The sequence below is a fragment of the Homo sapiens genome, chromosome 5, assembly GCF_000001405.40.
Source record: "Homo sapiens chromosome 5, GRCh38.p14 Primary Assembly".
NCBI lineage: Eukaryota > Metazoa > Chordata > Mammalia > Primates > Hominidae > Homo > Homo sapiens.
In genome coordinates, this window is record NC_000005.10 from 144,290,690 (window position 1) to 144,312,329 (window position 21,640).

The window sequence follows — 21,640 nt, forward strand, 5'->3', positions numbered from 1 at the left end:
AAGACATTTGCTTCCCCAAAGGTCCCATTTTTATTTTCTCTTAATGCCTGTCAAGAAGGGTAGTTTTTACCTTTCATAATTTCAGCTGATGTTCCTGGAAATCACATTTGGATCATTCCATGCAGCATCCCTTGAACTCTGACTTCATGAGAAGCAATTATCTTTCTATATGTAGTTATACAGAGCTACAAATGTAGTTATACAGAATTATAAGGATTTTAAAGATAATTTATTAACTTATTTATAACCTTCTTGGTTCAAAAGTATTTTAATATGGATTACAAAGATGTAACAGTGCAAGACGTTAAAATAATCCAGAAAAAGAGAAAGAGAATGGTGACCATATGAATTTGGGTGGTGAACGAAGACTTTGTATAAAAGTGTTGGGTCTAAAGCCAAAAAGCATCAATATATGAGTTAACACACGGGAAGGGGAATGGTGCCCTGAGCTGATGGAGCAGAAAGAGCAAAGACATGGGTTCAAGCATGCCCTGCCTAAAACCCTGCCTCATGGGTTAGCATTCTTATGTCCACAGTATCTGGTTGACACCAAGACATCACATTCACCTCCTGCTGCTTTCTTAAAGCACTCTAAATTCTTACCATGCCATTATCAGTTACCTCCATACTGGTATACACTTTGACTTTTTGTTCAGCTTATTTGTTCCCTGTGATTTCTTCCTCAACTCTCTCAGATCAATTTTATAGTTCTGTTCTCTGTTTCTCTTTAGAACTCAGCATATACTACTAATATGGCACACAACATATTATTCATATTGTTTTATGACTTATTGAAAGATCTTGTACCCTCATTAGGCTATGCACCCTTTAAAGACAGGCTGTATATCTTTAATATTGTCCTTTATATATGGTAAGTAGTTGTTCACTGAACATTTTTATTGAGTTGCATTGAGGACCTGTTTGAAAATAAAGGAAACTATTTTAAGGAGGAAAGTTTTGTCTACTTGAATGGCTTCCAATGAGGTACGCCTAAAAATCATTAAACCAGGGACTAGTAACATGAGATAAAATTCAGCGCATCTGGGAACTTGAATGAGAAAAAATTGCATCTTTCTTGTTATTAACTACTATCTTAAATTACACATTTATTTTAATTATGAATGACAGCTACCACATACCGTGTAATATTAGCAGTATCTTTGTTTTTGGCATCAACATAAATGACAAATATTTGCGCATCATGTCAGTTATTTCAGATTCTCAAAATATTGTTTAAAATTACCTTTTCAAAATTAGGGTAATCATTAGACTGTTGCTAAATCTTAATTAGACTGCATTAATGAAGGAACTCATATTTCTATACAGATTTTTAAACTATTTTAACTATTTTTCAATATAATTGGTTTCTTTTGTATTTTATTTTATGCATTTAAAAATCTTATTATGAGAAAAAGTTGGAGGGCTCTTCACCAGATTGCTGAAGGGATATTTGGCACAAAAATACTTAAGAGCACTTTTGTTTTAAGCCCAGGAGGGGCAGGGCCTGTGAGAGCATTGGCAGTGTTCCTGCAAACCCAGTTCAGGGGAGTGGTATTTTGGGACATGGTGAGAATGTCCTTGCTGTGAAAATGAATGGAGGACTGAGTAACCCAGGATACTATTGAGCAGAGCATGGTTTGGTGAAGTCATTTTTGTAGTGAAACAGGTCTGGCTGTTCTGTATAGGGTGGGGTGAAGGTAGAGCAATGTAGGAATTTATTGTAGCCCATGTAAGAGATGAGGAGGCCAGGTCAAAGGTGGTGGCCATTAGGATTTAAGATGAAATTTTTTTTTCAGTGCACATAGGTGAAATGAAAGAAATTGTTAGAGGTGAGCCCTAGACGTGCTGCTTTGTGTGGGAAAGAGAAACTGTTCAATATGGATTACACCACGTTTGAACTAACATCAAAATTCTGTAACTTTAGGTGCATATTTGGAGATTCAGCATGAAGCTAGGAATTTGAAAGCCATCACTACAGAGAGATGAGGCAAAAATCAAAAGAACAAAGTGGTTTATCAATGGAAAGAGCTGAATGGGAGAAGAAGCTGAGAGTTAGGGAGAAAAAACTCAGGATCAATAGAGAATTCTCAACTTCCCACCCCTCAAGAGCAACCAGTGATCTTTGCCTGGTATTTACCCTCTGAGAAGCCAGAATCCACAGAGAGAGCGCTAGGATTCCGGGTTGCACATGTTTTAGAAGAGAGTTGGGCTGCCCAGGAAGGGCCAAAGTTCAGCAGTGACCAAGGACGCATGTTGACCTCAAGCTGTGAAGCACAAGGCGTAAATTTCTTTGCCTTTTTGTACAGAGACTTGGTGACACTGAAGGACAAGTCTGGTGCAAATTGTTACTTAATTCATGAGAAACTTGGTAATTTATCTTTACTGAACTTTGCTTCCCTCAGTTCTCACAGCATCCAAATTCTACTCTTCTTTCCTCTAAGGCTACTCTCTGACTGATAGCTTTTTCTCTTCCCTTGCACTCTCCTCTCGGAAGTTTTCCTTTCTCTATTTGATGGTTTGTGGCTCTTTCCAGCTTGTCTACTTTTACAGTCTATCCTAATTCTTTGAAATTTTTAAAAACTTGTGTTATGATATGGAAATCCTCAAACCTCTGAAATTAGCTGCTTCCCTAATTTGTTCCTGTTGTGAATGTTTAAGGAACCTTCCAGATGTCTACTATTTAACACTTCCCCAATCATTTAATGGTCCATGTTCATTGTCTCTATAGTTCTTTTTTAAAATTATGGCTTTTCTAGAAATTTAAATTATTGTTTATAAAGGGTTTGTTCTTATAAAAATGCACTTTTTATTCTTATGGCATTACTCTCTCTGACCATATCCATTGCTGAAATTCTATTTTAAAATATCTTATAATTTTCACTGAAACTTAATCCATCTATAGAGACCTTCAAAAGCATTCATATTAAGCAGGGAAGATGGTAACCTACTTAGTAGACTGCATCTGGAATTCCAATTCCCCTAGGTCCATGACAATTTCAATGATGAACTAACCACAAAAGCATAGTTTAATAAGACAAAATATCCATTTCATTTTATTAGTCAGTTTTTGATGTAATTAAATGAGAAGCCAGTTACATTTTGCATATAATGTTGAATGCTTTTTAGAAAATTATCTAGTATTTTAACTAGAATATAAACCATGCATCCCCTTAAATTAAAACCGCAGGGGCTGGGTGCGGTGGCTCACGCCTGTAATCCCAGCACTTTGGGAGGCCAAGGCAGGTGGATCACAAGGTCAGGAGATAGAGACCATTCCGGGACAGCATGGTGAAACCCCATGTCTACTAAAAATACAAAAACTAGCCAGGTGTGGTGGCACACACCTGTAATCCCAGCTACTCAGGAGGCTGAGGCAGGAGAATCACTTGAATCTGGGAGGCAGAGGTTGCAGTGAGCCGAGGTTGCCCCACTACACTCCAGCCTGAATGACAGAGTGAGACTCTGTCAAACAAACAAACAAACAAAAAACACAGCAACAAAAAACCACAGCGTTTTTTGAATAAATGCCAATAAATCATATCTTATTTTGCTTTTGCTGACACTAAAATGAAAATAATGGTAGAATAATTCAAAACACATTTTAATGAATTTTTAAACAGCTATTGACTTACTTTCAGTTGATACTAATCAAAGATATGGTGGTAACTCTATAATTCAGTACAGTTTGCTTTTTAACTAGATGTCTAAGGTGTATCTTTTGTAAGATGCATAGAGATGTTTAATGGTGCTCATGTTCCCAGATACTCTCTGGGTGTATGTAAGCATTTTGTATATAAACTTATTTTTTTTTTCCTTGTGGGAGAGATTTTTTCTGTACTTGTTATATTAGCATGTTATTTGACTCATAGTTTGTGTATCCATCAGCAATTTATAGAATTGTGTTAAATATGCTTGTTCCTCATTCCTTCCATGTAGTGTCTTCATCACAATGTTCTTTTTGGATTGAAAGTGAATTTGGGTGGCAAAATAGCTCAGTTAGAGCATGGGACAGAATTGAGTGGGCAGAACTGGGTTCTAATCATTGTTTCAATATTTACAATGTGCATATGCCATCTTAACCCCTCCAGACCTTTATCAGTAACGGTTGTCCCTTCATTAAACTACCAGTTGTTGAGCATTTACTGTATGGAAGTGAATTTAGGTGACAAAGTAGCTCAGTTAGAGCATGAGCATTTGAGTGGACAGAACTGAGTTCCTGTCACTGCTTCAATATTTATAATGTGCATCTGCCAACTTAGCTTATCTAGACCTTTATCCGTACTGTTCATCCCCTCATTCATCCACCAATTGTTGAGCATTTTCTATACAAAAAGCAGTATGTAAACTGCTGGGGATAGGCATGGTCTTTGACTTGATGGCGCTAACATATAAAGGGGGATAATAACAGTATTTGTCACATAAATTTATGCAAGTTAACTGCTTTTAATCAAATAAAGTGCCAAGCAAAGTGTCAGATGCATAGAAAGAGCTCAGTAAGTGGTAAGCATTTTAGCAGTAGTAGTACACGTAAGTGTCCTGTTTAATGGTACATAAGAGTCTTGGAGCCACCATTTGTTTGCTCCAGTGCCTAGCATACTGCCTGGCATATGTAAAGCTCTTGTCTTAGGTAGGGTTCTCTAGAAACAAATTCTGAGAAAAGAATGTGTGTGCAAATAATGAATTAAGAGTTTTCCCAGGAGAAACTTGTAAATAATCAGGGAAAGCAGAATGAGAAAGCAGAAGAAATCAAGCAAGGGTGAGATTCAGACAAACTCCAGGGGAGGCAGTGTGACCCTTCAGGGGTTTCTGGAGGGTAAATTACCTCTCAGAGCAGTCTGACAGGAGAGGTAGTTTTCACACCTCTGTACCTGTCAGTCATTGACTATGGGCCACCATTGGGGACTGTGGTGGGCAGAATAGTGGCCCCCAAAGTTATCCATGCCATTATCCCTGGAATCTGTGAATATATTACCTTACATGGCAAAGGAAACTTTGCAGATGTAATTAAGGGTACAGACTTCTAGATAGGGAAATTATTCCAGATTATCCAAATGGGCTCAATCTAGTTACATGAGTTCTCAAAAGTGGAGAATCTTTCCTAGCTGGCATCAGATAGATATAAGTGACACTGCTGACTTTGAAACTGGAGGATGAGAGCCATAAATCAAGAAATGTGGGAAGTCTTTAGAAGCTGGAAAAGGCAAGGAAATGAACTCTCTCCCCTATAACCTCCAGAAAGGAACATAATCTGGCAATATCCAGTGAGAACCATGTCTGACTTCTGACCTATAGAGACCTGTAAGGTAATAAATTTTCATTGTTTTAAGCCACTAAGTTTGTGATAATTTGTCAATGTAGCAATAGAAAACTAACATAGGGACAAACTCCTGGTACTTCAGAGTCTCTGCTTTCTGCTATTGCATGCAAAGCAACTTCAGTAGCTCATGGAAACTTCTCTACAGAACAGTTACAGGTACAGGAGTTGGAGGCAAAAGTGCACTCAAGTAGAAAGAGCCCAGAAATGGTAAAAAAAATAAAAGGACCCCAGGAGGTCTGGGGAGCCAGCAATAGCATCTGCTGCAGTGCTCAGTAAGAATTTATTAACTGAATGAATGCATTTATGAATGAATGAATAAATACATTTATGTAAACTACTGGAATTGAAAGATTATGTAAGAAATGGCTTCTAATTAGAGGTAGGCATGTTGGCAACTCTCATTCAAACAGAGCATTTGGCAATCAAGACTTTCTCCCATGTTCAATTGCCTCTTTCTTATTTTCCAGTTCTCTGGGGGCCAGTGGATTAGAAAAGTAAGAATGTTCTATAGATATAATAAAATAATCAAATCTTAAAACTGTGTCTATGCTATAGGGATCCTTTTAAAAAATTCAACAATTATTTGGAGAACTTCACTGTATTCTAAGTGCCTGAGTTGTAAACTACTGTAACTAGCTAGAGAATTCGTCATCCTCTGGAGCATTTGGGTGCTTAGCAGAAAAACAAAAGAAAACTACTAGATATGGAAAAAGAGCAGCCTTTAGAAGCAAATGTTTTGAGAAGTCAAGGTTAAAAAAAAATAGGCTAAAAAGTAGTTCTCATTTTTCAATTACTAACTTTCCTTCTCACTTTCTCTTCCCCACCTTTTGTACCTGGGCAAGAATTCTAGATGAATTGTTCTTCTTGTGGATAACTTAGAAGAAAATCTACATATGTGAATAATGGATTTCACATCTGTCTATTTAATACCCAAGGAAAAACAGCTGATTAGAATATAAAAATAATTGAATTGAATTTGCTCATGTCCTGAACTTTGAAACCTGATTTCTGTAACTTATATGGTTTCAGATCACCTAAACGCAAGATGTGCTTTAAACGTAATAGGAATGGAAATGAGATTATAAGAGCCAATCTGGAAGATGCTATTAGATGTATCAGATCAATATTTCCTTTGATTCTAGCTCCGCTTCTTTTACACGTTTGAGTTTCTTCTTCATTTTTCCTTCATAAAATGTTTAGTAATACTTTTCTTGCTGTAGGAAAAGTAAAACTATACTACCATGGGTGTGCCCCTCTTTGATTTAAATGCTACATCAGCAAGAATGTGTTTGGCTGCAAGTAAGAAAAAATACAGCCAAAACAGCTTTAAGCAATGAAAGATTTATTGACTCTAAGAAGAAGGTCTGAAGTCAGGATGGGTTCAGGGTTGGTTAAGCAATGCAATCAAGGACAACTCTACAAGGCCGGATATCTCTCCTTATAGTCCCAAGTTGGCTACAGAGGTTCAGACATTTCATCAGATATATACTACATATGTTGCAGAAGAATTGTACTTCAGTAGGTCTCCTTTTAATATGGAGTAAAACACTTTCAAGATATTCCTACCATATCCCAGCGAGAGATAGGACTAACTAGATTTCCTAGGCTAAGAATCCCTAAGCCTAGCTGGGAAGGTGATCGCATCCACCTTTCAACATGGGGCTTGCAACTTAGCTCACATCCGACCAATCAGGTAGTAAAGAGAGCTCATTAAAATGCTAATTAGGCAAAAACAGGAGGTAAAGAAATAGCCAATTATCTATCGCCTGAGAGCACAGCGGGAGGGACAAAGATCAGGATATAAAGGCAGGCATTCGAGCCGGCAACGGCTACCCTCTTTTGGTCCCCTCCCTTTGTATGGGAGCTCTGTTTTCACTCTATTAAATCTTGAAATTGCACTCTTCTGGTCCAACTCGGCTAGAGCTGAGCTTTTGCTCACTGCTCTTTGCTGCCGTCACAGACCCCCCTTGACTTTCATCCCTCTGGATTCGGCAGGGTGTCCGCTGTGCTCCTGATCCAGCAAGGCGCCCATTGCCGCTCCCGATTGGGCTAAAGGCTTGCCATTGTTCCTGCATGGCTAAGTGCCCGGGTTCATCCTAATCGAGCTGAACACTAGTCACTGGGTTCCACGGTTCTCTTCCGTGACCCATGGCTTCTAATAGAGCCATAACATTCACCACACGGCCCAAGATTCCATTCCTTGAAATCCGTGAGGCCAAGAGTCCCAGGTCAGAGAACACGAGGCTTGCGACCATCTTGGAAGTGGCCTGCCACCATCTTGGGAGCTCTGGGAGCAAGGACCCCTCGGTAACACCAGCATACTTCTTTTTGGATCACATTGGCCAGGATTACATCACCTGCCATGCTCAAGAAGTAAGGCAAGCTTGAGAATTGTTCATAGCAGCTATTTTCAGCCTTTACAGAGAGAAGCTGGTTCTGCCAGCCAGATGGAAGGTTAAGGGATGCTGGTGGCTATTGGACACACAGGCCTAGGTGTAGGTACTCAATTGTGACAGTGAAATGAAATAACATTGGTAAGTGAAGCGCTTAGTACTGTGCCTGTAAGGTAACTGGTCTCAAGATGCCTTCAGAGACATAATTCCTTGGGAGGTGGTTTTCTACTGTGTTAGCATGTTTAAGGCCCCACAGTAAAGCCAGTCTAACATCTAGACAAACATGAGAACATTTAACAAGTCTCTCAAAAGTGACACAAGGTAATTGTTTTCAGATGCGACTGAGAAATATCTGAAACTTCTTTACTGATTTACCTTCATCTCTCTGAAGTCCTCTCATCATCACAACTTCTTTCCATTCCACTTTGGTCTCTCCCCAACTCCAGCTTATTCTAAGTCCTTTCTCTTTTCCTCCTTTCAGATGCAGCGCTTTATTATTATGTAGATGAATTTAGCCTCTCCAGGCTTCTTTCACCCAGTATCCTGATCAGCACAATAAAGTCTCGGGAATGGGGCAGGCTAAGAAAGAATTCTCTAAAGAGGCCAGGAATAAAAAAAATGCTATGAATAAGTAAAACAGATCACTATATATATATATATATATATATATATATTTTTGTATATATATATCACTATGTATATATATATATATATATATATATATATATATATATATATATATATATATATTTTTTTTTTTTTTTTTAACCTGTCACTGAGCTGTTTAATGTTGCCCGGAGTTCCTGTGCAATATACCACTAACACTTTGACAAAAATCTTCAACCTCTTTCATTTTCAACCTTTTCCTCAAAAAGAACCAAGAAGGGAAACAAGTCCACTTGGCTGTACATAATAATGATCCATCCTGCTTTGCTGAAAGCATTTCTCTATCAGAATAACAACTTACGACATAGACAAAAATAGTTTGACAAAACTGCAGGGAAGGAAGAGGTCCCCTGATCTTAAACATACTCTCTATTTTCTATCTTTCATTCATCTAATACTGTCTGCTTGAAAGTATTTTTCCATGGGAGTAATTGGGAAGTTCCCTCCAATATTGGAATGAAAAAAATAGGTTTTGTTTTGTTTTGAGTATAGGCAAAGGTGATACAATACACAAAAATTTGGTGTGCTAAGCATTTCACATAAATTATATCATGTAACCTTATTGAAAGCCTTGGACAGTGGCCTTATTATTACTTTCATTTTATTGTTTTGGTAAGGTAGGGCATTATGTAACTTAATGAAAGCAACACAGTTGGTACTAACTACTACATTATTTGGCCTCCTTAATATGTTTTAGGATTTTTAACATCTTTATGGAGGGTAAAATTGGAAAACCTGTAATTAAGTATGAATAACCTTACTTTTAACAAACTCATTGTCCAGGACCAAAGCATTCACATATCATTAGATTATCTGATTCACCAGAATCATTTAAAAAAAAAAAAAAAAACAAAAAACAAAAAACAAAAAGACCCATTTTCTTCTTCTGGATTACAACCCAGAAAAACTTGTCAGTAATCATTTATAGCTGTCTATCTTAGAAATCGATACAGATTATCCTATGATCAGTATAACTGCATTGCTTCTAAACCAGTTGAGCCTAGTAGCTGTGGTTGACTCTAAGGGAATTATTCTGCCTCATTCAGATATGATCTTAGCACATGTTTGTATTATTAATATTACCAGAATAGTTTTTCACTTCTCGGGTGGAAGAGCATTGAATCAAAAGAGATATAGACGTATTCAGTGAAGTGTGGGAAGTAAATCTCCTGAGTCCCTGATCTAGCCAGTTACTCTTTTGCAAAAATAGATCAAGATATTTTGTATCTGGCATCACAAAGCATTTTTGCTTCACTGTCACCCTTCAAGTTCTCACTCTATATCTCTTCTCCCGAATTCTTGCAATCTGTCCTGAATGCTGCTGCTAATTTTGAAAACCCACTTTTCAGAACTTACCAGCTGTACCATTTAATAGGGTGCAAATTGTCTCATGCTATTTCACTGAGACAGTGTAGTAGAAAGTATCTTGTAGCTCACAGGGTATTTTGCAATAGAATTTATTACATATATGCAATACACAAGTTATAACTGACCTTATACACCAATCATGCAATGAATACTTGTTGATTATCCAACTCATCACAGAGATCATGGTAATTATAGTGGACATGAGATAAAGAAAATATGCCCCACTAGTGAAGACATAACACTCTATTGAAGAGTACGGCCATATAAACTCATAATTGATATACAATGTGGTTGGGCAAAACAGGAGAGTCCACCCAAAGGATTTCACATTATTAAATACTTTGTCTTAAGCACTAAATGAGAGTTTGCTAGGATAAGAGGAGAAAGACATACTCAAGTGATGTACCTCACAGGTACAGAGTAAGGACAAACCATGCTCAAGAAATGGCAGGGAGTTTGATTGGACTACAGGATGAAAAGGATGGGAGAAGACAAGCAAGTAAGGTAGAGTCATAAAGATTATTACGGGCACGGCACAGTGGCTTACTCCTGTAATCCCAGCACTTTGGGAGCCTGAGACAGGAGGATCATAAGATCAAGAGATCGAGACCATCCAGGCCAACACGGTGAAACCCCGTCTCTACTAAAAATACAAAAATTAGCTGGGTGTGGTGGTGAGTGCCTGTAGTCCCAGCTACTCGGGAAGCTGAGGCAGGAGAATCCCTTGAACCTGGGAGGTGGAGGTTGCAGTGAGCTGAGATCGCACCATTGCACTCAAACCTGGGTGACAGAGCGAGATTCCATCTCAAAAAAAAAAAAAAAAAAAAAGATCGTGAAGGACATTGAATGCAATGCTATAGGAAATGGAATGTTTTGGAAGGCAGTGGGAAGGATTTTAGGCAGAGAAATGGATTAGAAGCTGCATAGAGATTGAATTGAGTAAGACCAGAGGTAAGAAGAAAAACTGTAGGCTATATAAGTAGGTAAGAAGAGAGATGGTGAATTCTTAAATAAGACAAGTGTGTATGCCCTGACTCCTCAGCAAAACTCTAAGCTCCTTGTGTTAAACATAATTTTTGTTGTGCTTATATCTTTCTTTGTTTCTAGCGAAATTCTATGTATATAGTAGGTGCTTGGAAAATTCTTGCCTTAAGAATGGATTAAGAATCCATCTCTACTTTAAAAATTCACTTGCACAATGCCGTCTCGACATAGTGAACAGGATATCTTTGGTAACGCTCTGTCATTTTTAACAACATGGAAATTACCACTTTGCTAATCAACCCATGAACAAAAAAGTGTCTTGATGCTTCCCTTAGCAACCAAGTGCTCAGCAGTTTGCCCATCCAAAATCTTGTATTTTTGGTTCTTCAACATAGTAGCTTTTGATGTTTTAGATACTTTTAGGATTCATGAAAGTGGAAACAAGAAAATTCAGAAGAAGAATTTTATTTCATGTTTATTTTATTTTATTGTTTCTAATGATAATGACAGATTTCAGTTATTGAATACTTATTCTGTGGCAGTCACTCTTCTAAATAGTTTTGGGATATTTTCTTTTTTAAATTTTACGCAAAATTAAGTAAGTTTTATGTAAAAATTAGGTTTTATTACTATCCCCTTTTAAAAATGAGAAGATTGTGGTGAAGATAGTTTAAGTGACTTGCCCAAGAGCAAATAGCTAGAGGCAGTAGAGCTTCAAACCCAGCTTTTCTGACCCCAGAGCACATTCATAGGTGATCATTATAAAAAGTGAAGAGACAGGCAGGTTTAGCACTGCACAGTGGTCAAGTGTCTTCAAGCTTAATAGTATCACTTTATGAATTTCAAAGTACTCTGGGCAGGTGTCAGGGAGAAGAAAAAAATGAAAAGAAACAAAAGGAGAAAGAGAAATAAGTTTAAAACAAGAATATATGTTGTCACAGTAAGTGTGTAATAAATATTTTTGAATGAAGTGAAATATGAAAGACAAAAACAAAGGAGGATTTTATGGCAGGTGGTAGAAGATGGTGTTCAACCATGACTTTGGGTTCTATCTTTGGTACAGAAGAACTACAGACTTCAAGTATGATTGCTTTTCTAGGTTGCAGCTTCACTCATCCCTGGCTATATCTAGACTTGTTAACAAATTTATAAATCTTCACCCACTGATTTTTCTTTCTGGTTAGAATCAGCCCAAATGACTTTTAGCTTCCTGAATACTTATTATCGTACGTCAAATACAGTATCAAAGAAAGAATAACTTAACTGTAAAACACCCTGTTTTTCTGATTCTAGCTCTGACATTCAACATCCTTGGAAAAATCAGTTGCTCTAGTGTATAGAATGTTTTCAAATTGCATGAGAGATTATGCCACAGTTGTATGTGATGAAAACAGTTTTTAATAATTTGATATGGACAGAATGATTAAAAAGCCCACTTGGCCTCTTCTTTCCTCATTGTTCTGTCTCTTTAAACTTGGATCCCTTTGGGTTGGCTGTAAGCAGTGGAAAAGAAATGCAGCCTATAGAATGAGCAGCAGGATATTGTGGAATATGGAAATCATTTCTATATTGTACAGGGAAATCTAATTACCTCTATCGATCATTCATCCAGTCTTTCCTCTCTTCTGTTTTGTTGAGTGTTTGGTTGTATAATTGACATTATTAGAGCGTTAGTGCCTCCTTTCAAAAGGCCTGTGGTTTGCTGGCCATTAGCAATCTTGATAGACGTGTCAAGGACAGAAGACCTCCAAATGCAGTCAAATTTTCTTTACACAGTAGGGTGGCTGGCTGTCTCTAGTTAACTCATGTTTTCTGCAAGTGTTATTAGAATTATATCACTTCATATGCAAGCCCTCTATGTTTCAGCTGACTCTTAATTACCTAAGCTGGGGAAGTGATTCTTTTTCTAGACTTAGGAACAAAGATGAATAGCTTTATAGGCTTGTGAGATCTCTGTAAAATCTTTTATGATTTGTTAAAGATCAAGTACAGCACTTTTAAGATTCTTTAGGACCTTGAGGTTGGGCTGGGTTGTTCAGAGATGGAAATAGAACCCTTGGCTTTTGTGTGGCAAGAGCAATGGAAATGACCAAAGGTTCAGTCTCTTGTCAAAAGTTTCAAACATGATTAAGCTTTTTGTGCTCATTATCTCAGAGTGACCTGCACCTGTTTAGTTGTTATCAGAAATATCATTTAAAACATCTAAAACTCTTCATTATCAACTCTTTATTTTTCAGGCCACTATAAGGAAACAACAAATATGATAATGCAAGGACTAGGTGGGGGTGGGAAATGAGGAGATCCAGGTTGGGGCTCAGGCTCTCCAGTAAGTGGCTCTGTGAGGCTGGGGAGGTCATTTCTCCTCTCCTGCCTTCACCTTCTGTTTCATAAGTTGGTTGGATTTGGGAGTTCAAACTTAAATGCCATTAGAGGCCTGGAAAAGAGTTTAAGACAAAAGACAGGAATTAGTTCTGTGGTCATTGGAGAGTGCATATCAACCTGGCCTATAGATGTCACAGCCTTAAACACACTTAAAGATATCCTGGCACAGAATATACATCTATGACACTTTTTGGCCCATAATTGCCATTTTACCACTCCCGTTTATATAATCTAAACTCCTCCCCTTCTTTAGGTATACATTTTCTGGCTCTACAAAAATATTCAAATAAAAAGAGGAAATGAAAGACCTAAAAGAAATGTCTTATAGTAAAGAAAAAAGAAACAAGTAAATCATGTGAGGATAAAAATTCACTTATTTTAGATAGAATAAAAAAAGACCAGGGTGTCATAGTTAAATCCAAGTTGACTGCGATGAGCCAGTGTGGGTAATAGTGCTGTGGGGAAAGGAAAGGACAGTGTGATCCTGAAGTGCAGCATGAAGCACATGTGACATAGCAGCAATAAGTCATCTTTCTGCTGCACTTAGCTTTAGTCTGACTCTCATTCCAGGGGAGTCCAGATGTGGTCAGTGGCCCTTAAAAGGGATATGAAGAATCTGGGAAGCACCTAGAGGTTAAGGGAATGGGAAATTGTTTCTTCGGAGGAAAGCCTAAAAGAATTTGAATTGATCAGCCTGGAGAAGAGAAGGAAAGTATTTGGCTTAATTACGCTTCACAGACAGGTTGCATTTTTTCATTGAGGGTATAAAGCAGTTTCCTTTCTGTCTGTGAGTAAAAACATTATATGGAAGAAGTGAGTTCAAAGGAAAGTAATGGAGACATGATTGGGGATGAGGCAGAATAATGACTTGCACCGTCCAGTGGCAAAATGCTAGGGCGATCTACTGAGAGATATTGGAACGTTTTGGTCCCAGGAGATCATCAAGTAGAGAAAAGGCAAGTGATTGATCTGTTTGTCCTGAAGGTAAGGAGGGACTACTGTGCACTGCAGGTCTGTCACTGTCTTGACTAATGTCATTATCATCATCCTTCTCATTAGCACCACCTTTTGGTTGCCTCCCTTAACCATAACAGGTAGATATCACAGAACACTAGGGCCAAAGGCCCTTTTGTGGTACTGGAAACAGAAACCTCGAAGCCACTGAGAATATCAAAATCTTTTTTTTTTTTTTTTTTTTTTTTCTGAGTTGGCTTTCCTGGGCTTTTGCCTCATTTTCAGTCTCCTGGCTGCCTACTCTGTCTGATTCACCTGACATGTGGGACACTCCACATTTAGAGCTTCTTAGAGCAAGAGAGAAAACTGATTAAGGTTAAGACCCTCTCTTAACCTCAATCCCAAATTCCCAGGTGAGATTCTGTTATATCTTTTTTAGAGTGAGTGTTCACCTCAATCCAATGAACTGTTTCTTGGAGTAGGGTGGGAGTTACTTGGTTCAATGTTGATAGGAAGATCTACCAGCAAAGGTTGTGTTATAAGCTGCAGAGTGTCCATCTAAAACCCATATGGTGAAGCCCTAACCCTCAATGCCTCAGAATGTGACTGTATTTGGAGATAGGATCATCAAAGAAGTGACTAAGTTAAAATGATGCCATAAGAATGGGCCCTAATTCAATCTGACTGGTGTCTTTATAAGAAGAGGAAATTTGAACAGACAGAGAAACCAGAGAGGCATATGCACTAGGAAAAGACCTCATGAGGATAAATTAAGGAGTAGGCTGGGTGCAGTGGCTCACGCCTGTAATCCCAGCACCTTGGGAGGCCGAGGTGGGTGGATCATGAGGTCAGGAGATCGAGACCATCCTGGCCAACATGGTGAAACCCCATCTCTACTAAAAATACAAAAATTAGCTGGGCATGGTGGTGCGCACCTGTACTCCCAGCTACTCAGGAGGCTGAAGCACAAGAACCACTTGAACCCAGGAGGCGCAGGTTGCAGTGAGCTGAGATCGTGCCACTGCACCCCAGCCTGGAGACAGAGTGAGACTCTGTTTCAAAAAATAAAAATAAAAATAAAAAATAAATAAAAAATAAGAAGGAGTCCACCTATAAGCCAAGGAGAGAGCCCTCAGAAGAAAGCAATCCTGTGGACATGTTGATCCTGGACTTCTAGCCTCCAGAGTGTGAGAAAATAACTTCTGTTGTTTAAGCCATCCATTCAATGGTGTTTTGTTATGGTAGCCCTAGAAAATTAAAACAGATGGTCAGTGTAGCTCTTGGAGCAATGAGGTTTGTTGTGAGCCAACCAGATATCCTACAAAATCTGCTATTATCATTATCATGACCTACATCAACAATAGTTGATGATTACACAGAGGTTTATGTAGCTACAGTCCTCCCATGCTCAGAGTTTATAAGTGGATCCAAGTATTGTACCGTTCTAGGGCTTGAGCAGAGAAGGTAACAGTTCGACTTCACTCCTAAATCATTCTGTATATTTTCTGTTGTGTACTTGCCTGGGCAAAAACTTTAGGGAAGGGAAAAGTCAAAGCAGTTTGCGTTTTTGCAACCCTGGCTGCTATGCTAGGAAAACTTACCAGAACAGTCTCTACTGTGAAACCTCCCTTCCCCACGACCCCCACTGCCTGCCCTGGCAGCAGCCCAGCCACTGCAAGAGTTGTTCTTCTCTTTCTGCTTCCCTGCCTTTGACTACCACTGGTGGAGCTAAGCTCAAGGGCCAGGAAGTACACATCCCACTTTATGCCAGTGATGGCTTCTGAGACTGTCTTTATCATGCAGTGGGCTTTACAAACTCCTTGGCAGGTGTCAACCTATAAGGACTAAGTGACTTTCCCCTGGGCCTCATTGGCTCGCATTACCTCTTCAGTGCTCTGTTTGACTTGGGCTCTGAAGACCTAAGACCTACCTTGGGATCACCTGGTGGTGTAGAGAGGACTGTGAGTGTTAGCAAATCTTACCTGCTAACTCTACCACCCCTCAGGATCTCTTTCATTGCTAACAAACCTTTCTAAATTCCTGAAAACAGGATTAGATACTCCAGTTATTATTTATGGAGGTCAGAGTTTCTTCCTCCTGGGAACTTCGTTGCTGTACTGTGGGACAACACGTTCAAGTCCATAATTATTGTTAACACATACCAGAACCAAAGAAAAATTCTCTCTCCTCTGATCTCATCTGAACAGGTAATTGATTTATCCTGAAATAGTTTATGGCTTTCTACCACTTACAGAATGAGGCCCTAGTTTTTTTGTTGGTTACCCAAAGGTTTCTGATCTGACACTAGCCCACCTTTCTGGCCTTCTCCATACCTGCATGCCAGCTTCACAGGTCTTCTTGCTGCTGTTCAATCATTCCTACCCATGCCTTTGCTTTTCCAAGGTGCCCTTTCTTCTCATCCCCATCTCTCTAAATTCTATTCATCTTTGAAGGCCTAGCTCAAGTGTGATCTCCTCCATAGAAACTGCTAAAACTTGCAAATTGGAGTAATTCCTTCTCCTTGAGTTATCATCGTATAGTCTTTGTAACTCCATTAGAGCAGTGGCCTCGCTCACAGCAGCATTATCATCATTAAAAGTGTTTCAGTTGGAGTCCTCCACTAAACTTCTTGAGGACTGAGACAGCATCTTGCTTTCCTCCATACCCCCACCCTCAGCACCCATCTAGTGCTTTTAGAATAATAATGATCATTTATTGGGTATTCACTATGTGCCAAGCTGTATGCCAAGTGCTTAACATACATTATTTCATTTAGTAGTCAGTGTTTATCAAATGAAGTACTAAGGCTTGGTGGTTAAATAACTTCCCCAAGATTATACAGTTTGCAAATGGTGGAGACAGAGTTTGAACCCATTTATCTCTGACTTTAAAGTCCATGCTTCTCATCACTAGTCTAGAATGCTGCCTCTAGGCACTCAGTATATGTATGCTGAATTGATTCAGATTACATAGCCATTTAATTTTAAGAATTTATGTACATTAAGGTGAGCTCATGGACTGTTGTTGCTGCTGCTGCCGCTGCTACTACTAACTTCTTTCTGAAATTCTTAGCCAAGAAGATTGCCTAATAGAGGCTCAGGGAGATTAAGAGCCCCAGAGTGTCATTAGGGATCAAGGTACATCGCTGATCTTGGCCCAGCCGTGTGGTAGCTGAACAAAGGTGATGTGTTGGATGCATTTGCCATGCTAAGGAAAGAACAGCCGAATGTTAACCAGCACATTAATCATGCTGACAGATGGTCTGCCTGGCTTGGGCTCTTAAACAGGCTCTTTCTATCTCACAAGCTTACTGCTGTGTACCTATTAGTTTGAAGGAAATAATATAAGATATGGGCTTGGTTGGGGTACCAGGGCAGCCTTATTAATAGCTAGAAGAAAAGAGGAGGCTCTCTGAAATTTTAATTGCCTTTATCTTAGCTTGCCCAGGACCTTGACCCTTTCTTTCTGTCATAGCAGCCCACTCCTGTTAGTACAGTTAAAATATATGCTCACATTCTGGTTCCACACCCAGGATGGTTACAGCTTCACACATAGCACTGAAAATGGCTACCGCCAACCAGTCAGGTAAGCGCTCATTCTGAGGTAATTTGCTGTCCCTTGAGCTTTATTTTCGTTGGCTCAGTGGGCAGATTCTAATTTGAACTGGGAAAAATTTAGCCCGCCTGAGGCGGGTGGGCAGGTGTTGATTTTTTTGTGACTGGGCTGCTTGAATTGCTAGGACATCCAGATATACCAGGCTGACATTACCTCAACAGGAAACTCAAGTTCCATTTTATGGGGATCTGGAGTCTTGATGAATCCCATCCTATGCTGGTTTGACTGACAGTGCCTTGACCTATCATTTGTGGAGACATATGTCTATATGTTGGTATTGATATCTATATATCTGTTTGTCTGTCTGCATTGCTGAGGCCCACTAAACTTAATGGGCAAACCTAGTTAGACTCAAAGATAGATAAACCTGCCTCCATCCTCAGATTGTGGGGTGGGGTGGGGTAGGGTGGGTGCAAAACCCTTTTAATAAAATAATAGTGAAAGCAAAAGAGGACAAAGTGTGATGGCTTCTCCCTCCCTCCCACTTTTTTTTTTAATAGGGAAGAGTATTATATTGAGCACCTAGTCAGTGTTGAGCATGGGGTCTCATTCCTCACACGTGGGCTTTGAGATAGCTTTCATAGCCCCTTTTTATAGAAGAGAAGACTGAGAGCTGAGCAGGCAACAGAGCCAAAACCACACAGATTGTTAAGTGGTGTGGTTGGGATCTAACACAAGCTAATTGGATCCTAATGCTCACCTACATCTGCTGTGATGAACTATCACATTTCTCATCACATTTCACGCTGCCTTTTTTCTGAAACAAACCAATTAGCAGTGAGAAGAGGTGAAAGGTTAGACAGAATCAGTACTTTCTCCTTTGTTACTGTGTTTAATGGACAGCTCTGTGCCAAACTGCTCAAAGGACTTTATGCACTCTTAGAATACCCAAGTTTGAAACTCTTGATCAATATGTCCTACGACTCCAGGAGGAAGATAACTACTCAGAGTAACATTTTCTTGACTGGAGACCCAGGGCATTCATATCTCCTCCACATTTTTTTTTTTTTTCAGGCCGAAAAGATAATAGCAGTTCAAGGTCAAGCCAATTGCTTGTAAAACTCAGGCGGTGCAAAATGAGTTGACACATTCTTGGCATATTTGAATGAAGTCTTCATTGGTTGTTAATATTTGAGTCTTCCAAGCCTTGTGAGATTGGGAAATGGGCCAGGGCAATTTGTAATCCTAATGAGAGAGACCAGACAAACTTCTGTTACTGTTTTGGGCCAAATATTAGTATTCAATCCCTTGGAGTTCTGGATACAGATGGCAGAATAGACCTCAAAGGCATAACTAGAGGCTACGTATCTGCTTAGCCAGTCCTAAAACAGTAGCTTCTTAAATAACTCACACACTGGTCCTAAGTTCGAGAGACTCCCAAGACAATCCTATGAGAGATGGACCATTTTGGGACATTATTAGTTGGAGATACAGAGACACAGTTACTTGAACGAATTCATTTCCTTGAGACTTACTGAGGAACAGGGAAGCAGAAGGGTGGGTGGGGGGACGGCAGCAAAATTTGTATACGGTGCAGTTTATTTTTAGTTTTACATGGTGTCATTGTGTATATTTAAAACATAATTTGTGAAATCTTTTTTGGTCTTTTATAATTTTTTTTCTTTCTTTCCAACTATGTTTTGTTTTAAGCCAGCAGAAACACAAGTTGTTTTTTTTTTTAAATACTGTGTTGCCTTAATGATTAAAACTAGATATTATTCTCCTCTCTACCTCCATAAGATCCACTTTTTTAGCTCCCACATATGAATGAGAATATGCAAAGTTTGCCTTTCTGTGTCTGGCTTATTTCACTTAACATAATGACCTCCAATTCCATCCATGTTGCTACAAATGACAGGATTTCATTTTTTATACGGTTGAATAGTATACCACTGTGTATGTGTACCACATTTTCTTTATACAATCATTGTGTTGATGGCACTTATGTTTATTCCATATTTTTGCTATTGTGAATAGTGCTGCAATTAGCATGTGAGTGCAGGTGTCCCTTTGATATACTGATTTCTTTCCCTTTGGACAAATACCCAGTAGTAGGATTGCCAGATTGTATGGTAGCTCTATTTTTAGCTATTTTGAAAACTCTCCACACTGTTTTCTATAGTGGCTATGCTAATTTACATCCCTACCAACAAGGTATGAGTTTATTATACAACCTATGTATGCAAGAAAATATAACATATGTAAAATATTATATATTTTTTTTGATATATATATATTTTTTGATCAATAATATTAATCAAAAATAAAACCCAAACAACCTAGATAATAAAGTCTGATTCATGATTTATTTCTCAAACATACAGAGCTGTTCTATAAGCTTAGAGCTCATTGAGTTGGCACTATTTTTTTTCTGCTTCTCACTTTATGTAGCTGTGAGGGGTTAATTCTTAATTGGCTGGTGAGAAAGGAAAATTACCCAAACTGAAATTCACTGACAGACCTCAGGGTTCTGTTTACTTCTTCCCACCTTTGTTTCTGTTGCCACTCAATGCTCATTCCCATCAGGCAGCTCTGAGGAGCGGGAAAATACATTATCCGCAGTGCTAAGGTTCACTCTTCCTCATGGGACTGCAGTAATAATTTTTTAAAGAGTAGTGTAGGTTGGATTGTGCTAGATTTCCTAATGCCCATTGAAGTCTGACCTTTACCACTCAAACCAATCATGGTAATTCCATCTCCTTTACCATCTCTTTGCTTTAGGTGTGTACAGGCTAGACCAATTTGGTCTCTAAGATTTGCTTGAAGCTCTTGAGATACCAGTCCCTCTGAGACTCAATTGTCCCACTTATAAAGTGGAGACGAGTTAATGGGTGCAGCAAACTAACAGGGCACATGTATACATATGTAACAAACCTGCACATTGTGCACAAGTACTGTAGAAATTAAAGTATAGTAAAAACAAAGTGGAGACAATAGTAGTAGTATCTAACTTATTGATTGTTGTGAAGATTATGTGAGTCATTACTTAGTAAATACCTGGCATACAGCAGCACTCAGTGAAAGGATAATTATTATTCTTTAAAATTTGTCCAACTTTTGATCCAGGCACTCTACTTCTAGGAAGTATGCTGAAAACGTAATTAGAAATAGATGCAAAGATATATAGATATAGATATCAAGAGGTGTTTATTACACTATTACTTATCATAGGAACCCTAATTATCCAAGAATATGGGAATGGTTAACAATGAAGTCTTTACCTCAAAGAATACTCTGAAGCCATTACAAATTATGTGGTAGAATTTTATTTAGTGAAATGAAAAGCAGTTTATGATATATTCTGTCATAAACAGCAGATTGTTTTCCATAAATACAACTACAAATAAAAATATAAATACAGGTATATGAAGTCAGGCAAAATACCTACCAAAAGTAGCAAAACGATACTTTATAATATTACAGACTTTTAAACACTCTACCATACACAGTTAACTGTACTTTTTAATCTAGGAAAAATACCTATATTAGAGAAGGAAATAAAATCATCTCTAATGTTTCTAACAAAAAGTTAATGAATATTCTGGAGAAATAACTTTCAAATCTTAAAAGGTGATTTCTTTTTTTTTTCTATTACTAAGTGTTTTAAAACTTCTTCCCTCTGAACATTGTTAAAGCCATTTGCTCCAGATTTCCTCTGAGACTCTTTTTTAGCTCCATTCAGCAAACATTTATGAAAGGCCCTGTAGGTGCCGGGCACTTTGCTAGATGGCTCACAAACACATATGCAGACTGCTCTCTTAGAATAAAGACTGCTCCGAATTATCCCAAATCAAAGAAATAGGAAATACATTTGACTTGGGTGGCCCTCTTGACATGGGTAGGAACTGGAGATTCTGTTTATACGTGTTACTCTGCCGTACAGACCATGGCACACAGACCGTGCAGGACAAGTGCTTGGCCCCATTAGTAATGTCCATGAGCCTTTATCCTTGGCATTCAT

At 38.6% G+C, this 21,640-nt stretch overlaps 1 protein-coding gene across 4 annotated transcripts in view, besides 1 other annotated feature; it reads left to right on the plus strand.

Moving 5' to 3' along the window:
• KCTD16 (potassium channel tetramerization domain containing 16) overlaps nt 1–21,640 on the plus strand; it is a 314,814-nt gene that overhangs the window by 119,817 nt on the left and 173,357 nt on the right. The gene's annotated exons all lie outside the window — the stretch shown is intronic.
• Nucleotides 6,937–7,671: an enhancer, noted in NCBI's record as "H3K27ac-H3K4me1 hESC enhancer chr5:143677189-143677923 (GRCh37/hg19 assembly coordinates)". NCBI's record gives its function as "activates a minimal SCP1, AML or CMV promoter by ChIP-STARR-seq in naive H9 embryonic stem cells {active_cell/tissue: H9 hESC(naive)}" and the evidence as "EXISTENCE:reporter gene assay evidence [ECO:0000049][PMID:30033119]".